The 14,208-nt window shown below is 34.5% G+C and overlaps 1 long non-coding RNA gene across 1 annotated transcript in view; it reads right to left on the bottom strand.

Moving 5' to 3' along the window:
- The window catches only part of LINC00351 (long intergenic non-protein coding RNA 351), a 181,060-nt gene extending 167,340 nt beyond the window's left edge, over positions 1-13,720 (bottom strand). Inside the window, exon 1 of the long non-coding RNA NR_046989.1 lies at positions 13,228-13,720. This is a non-coding gene — a long non-coding RNA (long intergenic non-protein coding RNA 351). The remainder of the gene's footprint in view (positions 1-13,227) is intronic.
- Between the last annotated feature and the right edge of the window lie 488 nt (positions 13,721-14,208).

The following is a 14,208-nucleotide window of genomic DNA, read 5'->3' as shown; positions in this document are numbered from 1 at the left end:
ATGGTGGCAGACGCCTGTAGTTCCAGCTACTCGGGAGGCTGAGGCAGGACAGTGGTGTGAACCCGGGAGGTGGAGCTTGCACTCCAGCCTGGGGAACAGAGTGAGACTCAGTCTCAAAAAAAAAAAAAAAAAAAAAAAGAGTATCACAAAGAATTAAGAATAGATCTCAGATCATTAAAGACTGACAGAATGTTTTATTTTCAAATATAATTTTCAGCAGTGAATGGCTTCAAATTTTTCCTTTAAGAATTAGAGAGACAATTATTAGTGTTTTATTAAGTTCAGCCACACTGTCAGCTTCTGCTAATTGCTTTTTGACTCCTGGTTTCTTGCTTCCTTTCTGAATTCTTGCTTCTCCTAACTAAATCATTTACGCTGTCTGGGAATGAAGTAAACAAGGATACGATTTTAGCAGAAACTTCACTGGGCATGAATAGAACTGTTAAATTTTTGCATATTGAAAAATTGTGTTCACCAGTTTTTAAGTAGCATTGCTTAATTAATTTCATGGATGTTCTTTATTAAACTGCTCTTAGGAATATAAAAGCATAATGCTTAAAATTATCATAAAATTAGAATATAGTATTATAGTCATATTTTTGGAATTGCTACTTACATAAAACATATGCAAAATTCCTATTATACAGAAGTATATGCAGAAACTATATTAAGTATATAAAATATAAAATATTACAAGATAGAAAATTGATAAAATGAAATCAGGACATCTGTAAGGGTAAATCTGTGAATATAGCACTTAAGTATTCTATAAAAATAGAAAAGGGCAACAGAAGAGTAAAATAAATTTAAAGTAGAACATCAGAAACTATATGGGTGGTTACATATCTCTCAGCTGATCTGGTTTTATTTGGTGATATAATTTTGAAAATCAGGAGGAGTGGATTGATAAACTGTCTTGCTGATCTTAATCAATTTTAAATATTTTATTGTAAGAAGTATCACTTATATAAAAGAAAAAATATATTATATTGAATCTATATAATTTTTAAACAAAATAAATAAATGGTCTAGATCTGCAACTCAGTTTAAAGCAAGGAAAAAACCCAAATATGATCATCTTTCAGATGACATTCTTCTGTCTTTTCAGTGTGGATAACCTCTGTTCTTCTGTGTTCAACATTTATTGGTTTTAATTGAAATTATATATATATGCACACATATAAAATATGTTTTAGTTTGACAATGCATTTTTTAGTTTGAATTTTAAACTATACAAAATATCCTATGATAAATAATTTTCTATGATTTTGTCCTTTTTAATTCAATTTTATGTTTTTGAATTCATCTATGTTGCTATCAGTATCATTAGTTTATTTCACAGTTGTTGCAGGCATTTATTCTATGAATGAGCCATAATATATGTATCCATTTTTTTGTTAGTGAACATTTGAATTATTTCTAGATGATCACTTTTCTGAATGCTATTACTCTAAATATTTTGATATATTTCTTCTGGTGTGCATGTGAAAGAATTTTTAGGAATTTATGTAAAGGAACAAAATTGTTGAGTAATAGAGTATGTGAATCTTGTCTTTTATCAGATATTGCCAAATTATTCCCTAACTGTCTGAACCAACTCACAATTGGGTGTACTAATTTACAGTGTAATTTACAATATAACTAGCTATGCGCCTTCACCTGGCTTTTGTATTCATTTTAATTTTTGACCACAATGGGTAAAATATTTTTTATTTTGGTTTGGTTTTGTGTATCCTTATTTATTTATAATGTTGCATTTAGTCACAGTTCTGTTGCATTTCTTTAAAATATGTGTATGGATTTTCAGCTACTTTTGAAATAGGGTATATTTCACCATTTCTATTGACTATGTGAGTTGTTTGCATATTGTGAGAAGATCTGATAGCTGTTACCAAAATTTTATTCTTATTTTTTATCTTGGGACATTCCGGGTTACACTTCTCAGTCTCATTTTATGATGGAGTATATCATGCTGCTGAGTCCCAGCCAATGGAATATGAGTGGAAATTACGTGTGTCACATCCAGGACAGATACAAAACAACCTTTCAATACAGTCTTACTCAATGCTTTCCCTTTCTGAAGATTGGGATGGGGACCAAAGCACAAACTTGGAAAAGAAAGTTAATGATTCTTCCCTAAATGATTGTGTCAAACAAACCCTCTTCCTACCTTCTCTCACCTGTCCCTGACACATACATACATACTCCCCCACACACATATACTGCCACCACTAACCAAGGTCACTCTGTTTGCACTGTAAGAAAAGAAATACAACTTTCAATGTAGTACTCATCTGAATGTTAATTCTTATTTGTTCTCACTGCTTAGCCCTCAATCTCCTAATTAATATGTGGTAAAAAAATAATCATTTGTTCATTATATTCACTTTGTATATGCACTTCCAGGTATTTTCTTTGGTTTAAAAAATAATATATTAATTTTAATATATTTGACTTTTCCATGCTTCTTTAAGGCAGAGCTTGGTTTTATCTTTGTTAAAACACTGTTCTTAGCCAGGTGTAGTGGCTTCTGCCCAGTTACTTGGGAGGCTGAGGCAGAAGGATTGATTAATCTCAGTAATTAGAGTCTGCAGTGAGCTATGATCACAGCATTGCAATCCAGCTGGGGCAACAGATCAAGACCCAGTCTCAAAAACAAAAACAAAAAAATAAATTGTTTTTGCTGATGAAATAAATGTACATTCTTGTATTTCCTTCCAAAGCATAAATGCATGTTTTCTATTGGAGCCTTTTAAATATTAAATAATGCTAAGAAACGTTTTTTTCGTATAAATAAGAAATTGTCAGGACACAATTTTCAGGTGATCTGGTCCTCACTGAAATTATAATACATAAGCAATATATCACTTTATATTACCCTGTAATATATCAAGGTTTTAATATATATGTAGGTCAGTTTCTAGGTCTGGCTTCTGCATTGATATCACACTGTCTTAAAATTTGTCCTTAATAGTTTTGTTTGTTTGTATGATGGAGTCTCACTCTGTTGCCCAGGCTGGAGTGCAGTGGCATGATCTTGGCTCACTGCAACATCCACCTCCCAGGATCGAGTGATTCTCCTGTCTCAGCCTCCCAAGTAGCTGGGACTACAGGCGCATGCCACCACACCCGGCAAATTTTTGTATTTTTAGTAGAGATGGGGTTTCACCGTCTTGGCCAAGCTGGTCTAGAACTCCTGATCTCAGGTCTCCCAAAGTGCTGGAATTATAGGAGTGAGCCACCACGCCCGACATTTCAGGTTTTTTTCCAGTAGGACAATTTCTTATACAGTTTTTCTTCAGGTGTACATTGCTTATTTTACTCCTATTTCAATATAAAATTTAAAATTAAATTCCATAAAAATATCTTTCAAATGTAATTTATAATTTCATTACATTTGATTATAATTTTGAATAGAATAAACATATTATTCTGACTTTTAATATTTTGTATTTATCCATTTATTTAGGTCCTTCAAAATGCATTTCACTAAGAATGTATATTTTTCCATGGACATTTCACACGTTTTCTGTTAGGCATGTTTCTAATTATATTGTTTGAAGTTGTAGAATTGAATGACTTTTAAACCCTTTTTATTGAAGTTCAAGATACATAAAGGAAAGTGTATATGTTACAATTATAAATTCAAAGGGAGAAAGCCACAGTTAATTAGCAGGACAGAACATTCTAGAATTTAATGCACTAGATGTTATGTAACTCTAAACTTTTACTAGATCAATAAGTACATCGTTTAGTTCACTGGACATGCCTACACTGGATAAGTCGCAATGTAAACATGCTACAGAAATGTCTGTTCTTATCTCTTCTCAGACTGCTAACAATCTTTACCGGTTGGCAGTGGTTTTCAGACAAATTGTGTACTTTTCTAGTACATGACATTGGTAGAAGTTGTTTATGCATTCCCTTGGGTCAATACTAGAGATGGAATTGTTGTATTACAGGATATGAACAAATTCAGCTTCAATAGATTGTAACATACATATTTCTAAAGTGACTGTACTTCTAAAAACTTAAATCAGATAAAAGAAATAAGAAAGGAAAGGTAGAATAAAATAATCTTTTTCACAAATAATAGAATCTACGTAGGGTTTGTGGAAAATCAAAAATTATATGATTAGAAAACATCAAAATGAGAGGAGCATTTAGCAATTACACAGTATGCAAGATAAAACAAATTTTATTTTTATCAATGTCGAAGACAAATGCATTAAACTGCTTTCTTAAAAGGTATTGTAAAGATTACTCTCTGTCAAAATATTACTTGACACTTTTATCTCCAGGAATATTAAAAATGAAATATTCTTAAAAATCCTCTTGCTGTAAGTCTTCGTCCATTTGTATTGCTATAAAGAAACATCTCGGGCTGGGTAATTTATAAAGAATAGAGGTTTATTTGATGCACTTCTGTAGGCTGTACAAGAAGCATAGTGCTGACGTGTGCTTTTGATGAGGGCCTCAAGCTACTTCCAATTATGGCAGAAGGCAGAGGGGAGCTTGTGTGTAGAGATCACATGGTGAGAGAGGAAACAAGAGGAGGAGGGGAATTAGGTACCAGGATGCAGTGGCATGATCTCGGCTCACTGCAACCTCTGCCTCCCGGGCTCCAGCAATTCTCCTGCCTCAGCATCCTGAGTAGGTGTGATTACAGGTGCCTGCCACCATGCCTGCCAAATTTTTTTTTTTTTTTTTTTTTTGTATTTTTAGTAGAGACAGTGTTTCACCATGTGGGCCAGGCTGATCTGTAACTCCTGACCTCAAGTGATCTATCCACTTGGGCCAAAGTACCGGGATTACAGGTGTGAGCCACTGTGCCCGGCCACCAGGCTCTTTTTAACAACCAGCCCTCATGAGAACAGAATGAGAACTCACTCACTCCAACTCTGTCCCAGAGAGCAGGGTTCTATTCATGAAGGATCTGCCCCCATGACCCAAACACCTCCCATTAGGCCCCACCTCCAACTTGGGGATCAAATTTAAATAAAGTTTGGAGAGATGAACATCTAAACTATTGCACTATATCACCCGGATGCTTTATAAATCATAATAAATATAATTTTACATGCTCAGCTAAACTTTTAAGAGAGTAGGTAAGTCTCCCCGGCGCCAAATAAAGCAGGAAAAAAAAAAGAAACTGAGATGAGATGCAGAGCAGTCTAGCATGTGGGGACAACATGGGAAAGAATGGCTTACCTTTAGAATCCAGATAGGTGTCCTACTTGGTGTTTTTAAGTGCCTTGTTTTAACCTATTTTTAATGGTTTCTTGCTATTGCTATGTTGTTTCATTAAAAAATTTGTGGGGGATATATTAAGCGTTTCCTTTTATTCTGTATTTCATAATTCCAGAATACCAAATCCGTGAGGGATATTGTCATTTTTATGACAGTATCTTGCTAATGTAACTTGTACTTTTTTTATTGGTAGCTAATAATTGGCTAAATATTTGCTGTGGAAATCCTTAATAGCCTCAGTAGAACATGATTTCTCTAGAGAAATTGTGTATTTGCTTCTTCTGGGTGTCAGAGACACTATCAAGCTTTAAATATTTTCCTAACTTGTGATTTCCATTTTCCATGATCATCCAAATAATAAAAATTCAAACCTCAAGACAACTTAAAGTCAGGCTTTTTTTGTTATTGCTGTTATTATTAGCTTGTTATTATTAATAATTCTTTTCCTAGGTTATGGTACAGGCAGACACTTTTCTTTATAAAGCCCTTACCATGCCTAGCAAGTTGAATTTTGTTCTAGTCTACCTATTCACCTATTGAGAATATACAATTTTTTTTGTAGGTTCAGGTTTGTTGTCCACTGACATGGGCTCAAACCAAGGTTCAAAAGTGCTGTACATTCCAGAGTCCATGTTTGTTTGCTATTCTACTCTGAAGTCACATTCTTGCTACTCTTTTTTTTTTTTTTTTTTTTGAGGGGTGGGGGCTGAGTAGTATTTGGAGTTTTCTCTTGCTTTACAAGATCTTCTGGGCATATAAAATTATTTTTATTGACATTTATCCTGTATGTGATACAGCAGGTGGATTTTCATATTATCTCAACCATCATATTTCTAGAAGTAGAGGTCTTAAGTGATATTTTGACAAATATTGAGTAATTATTACTTCAAGACTGATGGTTAGAGTCAATGCCTAAAGAAATACCTAGAAAACTATTGTTACACAGCCAATTGCATAGAAACCACATGGCTTAAGGATCCAGTTAAGAACAGGGTTAACATGATTTTATTAATGACAAGCCTAACTAGCAAATCTACCTGAGAAGTCATTTACTCACTTAAGTCTGAGTTGAGCTAAGACACTATATGCTGAATGCATCATAATAATCCCCAGATAATTATTTTGCATGAAATTCAGATTGCATAAGAACATCCTCAAGCAAAGCACTGCAATTTTAGTTTTATACTTTTAAGCCCATCCCAACACCAATTATGACATGAGGATTCTCACACAGTCTTTTTCAAAATAGTCTTAATAAATCATTCTATTAAAAAAATGGTTTAGTTACTGCTGTCAGCTGTGACCTCCAAAGACAAAATATTCTCAAAAGGATTACACAGGATGTGCTAATGGTTAATAACTACATGAAAAGATAGTCAACAACATTAAAACCACAACGATATACTATTTTACACACACTAAATGACTATGTTAGAAAACAGTTTGATAGTTTCCTAGAAAGTTAAACCTAGTTTTACTATATGGTGTATCAATTTAATTTTCTTTGGGTATGTGAATACCCAACATATTCACATGAGAACTGTACACTAATGCTCTCAGTAGCATTATTCATAATAAGTATGAATAAACTTGAAAAATATTATGTAAATTAAAAAGTCAGGCAAAAATGACCATCTATTTTGTTGTACCATTTATAAGAAATGACATGAAATCTGGAATCTATAGAGACAGAAAGGAAAATAGTGGTTACCTGGGGTGAGAGTTGAGGGAGGTGGGAAGAGATTGACAATAAGTAGGCTGGATGGATTTTACTGGATGATAGAAATGTTTGAAAATGGATTTATTTTAATGTTTGCACTGCTTGGTAAATTTACCTAAAAACTGAATTATATACTTGAAATTCATGAATTATAGGATATTACCTGTAAAAAAAATGAAATAGGTTATATGTTTATCATTTTAAAAAGTATCTCATAGTTGCAACATATCTATCCAAAATATTCACTTCTAAAATAATTAATTTTAGATTATTTCTTTATAGTGATTCTTTAGTAGCATCATTTGCCCGTTTTGACAGAAAATACACAATTTACTCTAAAGTCTTTTTTTCCCAAACGTGAGTGTGATTGTTTCTATGCCACTTATTTAACAATGGTGTCAGATACTTAATAAGTAAAAAAGAATGTGCACCTAAAGAAAATTTAATATTGACCAAAAAAACCTTTTGAAGCCTCAATAAGATTATTTTTACCATCTTTGTTTTGCATGAGTACTAAGGTACAGTGATTAAACTACCGATTATTGAGTCTTTTTAATAATCTGGTTAGCATAAATAAAGAAAATTGAAAAATCATAATAATATCACTTTTGGTTTTCTGGCATATGAGTCTAAAAGCTGTATTTAAAATGATTAGTTGAATAATCTGAACTTGAAATGTGTAAAACACCTGGGTGTTACAAAATCTGGATGACATACTTCCCAAACAAGAGCTTAAAAGTTTGGGACAGTAATAATTTTAGTAAAACTCGATGAATGTAACATCTCTAAGTATGGATAGATAAATAATCTAGACACAATCATCTATTTTTATCAAGTGAATAAAACATTATCATCCTCGAGAATTACACACAAATTGATCCTTAAGATGTGTGAGGAGGAATTTAATATGGATTGAAATATTCTAGAAAGTCTATCTGACCTAGAAGTAATGCATCAATTAATATTGCTGAATGGGCTTGGCCCTATCCCAGAATGTAGTTCCATTGGCAAAATACGCCATGCAGTTAGGTGTTTAATCTTATTTGGGTCAAATTAGAGCAGAGGGAACCTGATCAATATTCCTCTTGCAGACACAGGCAAAAATGACCAACCCAAAAAATGATTATCAGTGACTGTCAGTGGTAAAATAATTTCAGTATAGTTATGATTTCCTTTAGAAATGTTCTCTAATCATCAAGTTTTAAAACTATTCTTTTGTCAAGAGGTAGTTAATGCTAAAATTTAGACTGAATGATCTCGAGTGGGATACAATGATTTTATATTGTTGATTTAAAAAAGAACAATAAATATTAGAAATAAGACCAAAGTTTGTACTGAAATCTAAGTAAGTTTGCACAAATTGAGGATTATCCTGAATCTCATAAGGAGTCCACAGGAATTTCATGGGGAAAATTATCATATTTTCAGGGAAAATAGCTCTGTACATTTTACATTCTCTTGGCAAATGATTGACTGATGTCCCAGAGTTCTCTGTCATACAGTCGATAAAGAGCTGAAAGTCATCAGCTAGCTGTCTTAACACTGTGAAGCAGATTTATTGTGACTACTGAGAAACATCATATTTTAATGGGAACTTCATTGATCTAGCAGAATGTGTTTATAGCAAAATAAGTAAATCAATAGATAAATTTTTCACACATAATTACATTTCAACACCCACTGCAATGCAGGTAAATGAAATCTCAAGATAATTATTTAAATTTTGTTGGATTGATCTTTCTAGTAACAATTATTTTTAAAAATCAGATTTTTAAAAATTTTCTTGATTTGGTTAACATTGTGGTAGTTAATCTAGAAGACAATCCTTCCTACCCAGTGAACCACACTTCCTAGCGTTCATTTCCTTGTAAATTCCCTTTCCTCCCTCTTTAGATCTAGGCTGGCCCTATAATAGAGTGCAGCAAAAGTGGCACTGATTTTTCTGGTTATAAGATTATAGGAAAAATTGTTGGCTCTTGCTTTAGTCTTTTGGAAACTTCACTCTGGGGAAAGCTGGCCACCATGCAAGATGTCCAATAGCTTTGAGATTGCCATGTTTTGAGAAAGCCCACAGGAAGGGGCTGCCTAAAGACAAAAAAGCTTCCTCGGCCTACAGCTATTCTTGTCATTCCAACCCAAACATCAGACACGTAAGTAAAGAAATCTTGAGATATCTACAATGCTAGCCATTATCTGACTAAAACCACATAGAAAACCACAATCAAGAAGTCAACTGAGCTCAATCTACAAATTTGAAAGAAGTAATATTTTTTGCTTTAAGATACAGTTTTGTGACAGTTTGTTATGTAACAAGAGATAACTAGAACCATCAATAGCACACATGACTATTCTGGTGCTGACAGTTGAGAAGACCACAAATATTTGTGGTGCATTCATTTAGATGCAAGCACACTACAAGAGATGTTAGAATTTAATCCTTTTCAGTTGCTTATCAGCACTATGATCTGCCAAGTAATAAAGAGGACAAGAGAATATCAATGAACTGGAAATAAGAACATGCACTATATAAAAACACTATCATATACATGTAAGTAATAAAAAATATGTAAATTAACTCAGAAAAGTGTACTTGTGAAGTTCCTTAGAATCCATACAGGCCATATTTTCACATCTGATTCATAAATGTTGCATATAATATTCAGTTCTACTACTGACCTCAAGTGATAGAAAATTTGTAGTCTCTCATAGCAGGCAGCACATGCCATATTTTATATATTTGTCCAAGCCTCTCTCCCCAAATCTGACATTACTTAGATCTTTACATGAAAGCGAGTATAAAAGTAGAGTAGGTGAATCATGTGAAGACTGAAAAACTCTGGTTTGAAATTATTTGGGCTAATTTTTTTTTTCAAGTGTACCATGGAAATAGAGCCTCGTGGTCTTGCAGAAAGTAAATATACCACTTAAGGGAGAAATAAATGCAGCATGTTTACAGACACAGTAGAAAGAGAAAACAGCAAGTAAAGAAATTTATTTCCTTTTTGATGTACTGAAGAGTTCACAGATACATCAGAAATCTACTCATATTTTGTCAATATAATTTTAACGCATACACTGCCATTATACATGTTTAAAAATGTGTGTGTGTACATTCTTGTGTGTATGAATCACATATAACCAGAGCCTGCGTAAATCTTTTATAGTTAAAGAAACTAAAATTAGATGGAAATGTAAAAATTTCCACTTAAATGTGATAGACATTATAAGAACATTTACGTGTGAATAGATATATTATGCATTTTAATAAAATATGTTGGAAATCATAAAATGCTATACTTTTGTGTAGGAAATGCACACATAGAAAATACAATTTAGCCTGTTAGGCATTCTCATTTTTGTTTTTCTTGAGCTTAAATATGAGCTCTCTGGCACGCAACAGAAACAACAGAAGGAGACGGGGTAAAGATTAGGTCATTCCCAGCCATCATGTTCTGAATTCTCTTTTTGTTTCAGTGCCATTATTAGCTTTTCTTTGTAATTTCCTCTCTTATTCTAAATTGCCTCAATTTCTATTAAGTGGATTTTCCAGTCTGCATTATCAATTTGATAGACAAAAGAATTATAGACTCAGTTCATATAAATATCTGATGAAAATTCTCTCAGATAACTCTCCAATAAATTACCTTGAAAATGTTTCTGTAGAATTAAAAAGTAAACATCTGATAAATACAAATAAACATCCGATAGAACTGAATATCATATAGTACCATTTTTATATTTGTCAGTAGTGACAACAAAACAAAATCTCAACAAAATTACAATAGATTTATAGAAATGAAGTTGGCAAAATTGAAAAACTTTGATCATTGCTAAACTCTTAGATTAACTTTTCTGGAACATTATCAATAGATTATTTTAAAGAGAAAGTTTGAATTTTTACAGGTATATCACCATCGCCAGATATATAATTTTTATTTGAACACTGCATGACAGTGAAAGTATGGTTGCTCTTTATACTAAATCAAAAATATTTCACAAAATCAGTATAATATACTCTTTTTCTTCACTAAAGGGAAGTGATACTGCTTCAAGACTAACATTACGAGAGAAGAAAAATTCTAGACATCTTGTTGATTACATAAGAGTATTTAGCTACCAGATAAAAATATTGAATAAAGTTACTTAGCCAGAGGGAGGAAAAGAATGGCAAAGTTATCCAGTAGTATTCTTCCCACGGTTCAGATTTGTTGGGTATGTTGATTTTTGTTGTTTTTGTTAAAAGTGGTTTATAACAAGGCTTTAATGAAGCTGTCACGCACTCTACTCTATTTTCAATTGGAAGCATGTGGTGTCATTTAGATCTTTTTTTCCCCCTTAGATTACTTGGAAAACATTCAGCATTTGATTGCTTTTAATCAAGAAAACGAGGCACATTTGCTAAATCTTTTGATTAATCTGATTTTGATAAACATCCATGAGCAATTAAGAGTCTTAATCCTGAAGTCAAAGTTAGCAGAACTTGGGATATGAAATATTAGATATATAAAATACTACCCAGTTTATTTCATTGAAGAAAATCAGGATGATATAAAATTAAAATAAAACAATACGTTGAGAGAAAATAATACTGATTTCTCAACAAAGTTATCATCCAAATTTTTTCTGGATTGGGACAAAACTAATACTCTTTAAATTCTATATTTAATAAGCATGAGCATGAAATGCACATATATATATATATACAAAAAGATATACAAGACAGCAGAATTTTAATACAACTATGAGTCAGAGTTATGAATTAAATTGACTGTGGTATTCTAAAGAAGCATAACCTAAAACATTCAGAAGAGAAATAATGTGGGTCTTAAAAGTAGAAGTAACTACCTAACAAATTTTGCTTTCAAATTAGAGTAGTGAGAATTAATGTTTATCATAATATTACAACCACTATGGAAAACAGTGTGGAGATTCCAAAAAGAACTAAAAGTAGATCTACCATTCGATCCAGCAATCCCACTATTGGGTATCTACCCAGAAGAAAATAAGTCATAATATGAAAAGGACTTGCACACGTGTTAATAGCAGCACAATTAGCAATTGAAAAAAATATGGAATTAACCCAAATGCCCATCAATCAATGCATGGATAAGGAAAATGCTCTCTCTCTCTCTCTCTCTCTCTCTATATATATATATACACCATGGAATACTACACAGCCATAAAAAGGAGCAAAATAATGGCATTTGTAACAACCTGGATGGAATTGGAGACTATCATTCTAAGTGAAGTAACTCAGAAATGGAAAACCAAACATTGTATATACTCACTTGTAAGTGGGCCTAAGCTTTGAGGACACAAAGGCATAAGAATGACACAACGGACTTTGGAAGGGTGAAATGGGGGTGAGAGAGAAAAGACTACACATTGGGTACAGCGTACACTGCTCAAGTGATGGGTGCACCAAAATCTCAGAAATCACCACTAAAGAACATATCCATGTAACAAAACACCACCTGTTCCCCAAAAACCTATTGAATTTTTTTTTTTTTTTAAAGAAACTGAGATAACCTGGAAGACAGTCAGGGTGTGAGCCACCCCTTTGCTGATGAAGACAATAACAGATCAGCTGGTTGTGGAGCTGGCACCACCCCACTCTGCTTGGGAATTTGTTGCTGGAAGAGCAGCTTGGAGTTCACCTCTTCAAGTCTCCCAACAGTCATAAAATCTTATGTAATACTCCAGTGATAAAACTGTTTCTCTCTAAACCAGCTAGATTCTTTTTCCTCTGCAGTAAAACCTGATCTTCCCAGAAATTAGTTTTTTTTTTTTTTTTGGTTATTTCTCCACCAAACAATGTGTCATGATACTCAACGTTTCTCTAGAAAGTGGGTTGGGGAATAGAATTTTACTTCTTTATGATTTTCAAAATAGCATGATTATAGATATTTTAAGCTTTTTTAGATTTTTCAGAATTTTCAAAACAAAATGGAAAATATATTGTTTTTTGACCCCCCCCTCCACCCACCCACCCACACACACACACACACACAAAGGGTCAGGGCCCAGTTTTACTCACGTCAAGTTTGAGATACCTATTAAAAATTCAAGTGAGTAGGCAATTGGTAAATATAAAATTTTCAGCATGTAAGCGGCATGTAGATGGTGATATGCAAGTGGAGTGAGTATTCTGAGTTCCTGTCTCTAAAGGTGCTCAAATAGAAGGGAGGTGAACAATTAAAAGTGTAGGTAATATTGTTACATAGATTGCAATTCTGATTTGCGTTGGAATAAATTACCTCTGTGATTCCAGAATATGATCCCACAGGAAATGATGTTGTGTCCAGAATTTGTGGTTCTTGGTCTTGGTGACTTCAAAAATGAAGCTGCAGACCCTTGGACCCTCGCAGTGAGTGTTACAGTTCTTAAAAGATGGTGTGTTCGGAGTTTGTTCCTTCAGATGCTCAAATGTGTCCGGAGTTTATTTCTTCTGGTGAGTTCGTGGTCTCCCTGGCTTCAGGAGTGAAGCTGCAAACCTTCGCGATGAGTGTTACAGCTCTTAAAGGCGTCGCGTCTGCAGTTGCTAGTTTTTTCTGGTGGGTCGCTGGTCTCACTGGTTTTAGGACTGAACCTGCAGACCTTAGCGCTGAGCGTTACAGCTTATAAACGCAGCAGGGATCCACAGAATGAGCAACAGCGAGACTCATTCCTGAAGAGCAAAAAAAAACGCAAAAAATCAACGCTCCCACATCACGGATAGGAAATCTGAGTAGGCTGACTCTGCTGGCTGGGGTGGCCCGCTTTTATTCCCTTATCTGGTCCCACCCACATCCTACTGATTGGGCCATTTTACAGAGAGCTGATTGGTCCATTTTACAGAGAGCTGACTGGTTCGTTTTGACAGAGTGCTGATTGGTGTGTTTACAAACCTTTAGCTAGACACAGAGTGCTGATTGTTGCGTTTACACTCCTTTAGCTAGACAGAAAAGGTCTCCAAGTCCCCACCGGTCCGAGAAGCCCAGCTGGCTTCATCCTTCAGTGGCACTCGCCTAGGGACTTTGCAGCACCTAGCCTGGGCAGTCCGGCAGCCCAGAGGGAGCTGGTCCCCTAATCAAGCCCAGCAGGCGCCCGCCGGCCGGCGGCGCTGAGTGCCGGCCCGCGGGGCCGCGGAACCCTGGCCCACCCAGAACCTGCGCAGAGCCACAAGGGCCGTGCACAGCCCCGGCTCCCGCCCGCGCCTCCCACTCCACACCCCCCCCGCCAGCAGAGGGAGCCGGCTC

Source organism: Homo sapiens, chromosome 13, assembly GCF_000001405.40.
Source record: "Homo sapiens chromosome 13, GRCh38.p14 Primary Assembly".
In the NCBI taxonomy this organism is placed as follows: domain Eukaryota; kingdom Metazoa; phylum Chordata; class Mammalia; order Primates; family Hominidae; genus Homo; species Homo sapiens.
This window is presented reverse-complemented; position numbering and strand designations above follow the sequence as displayed.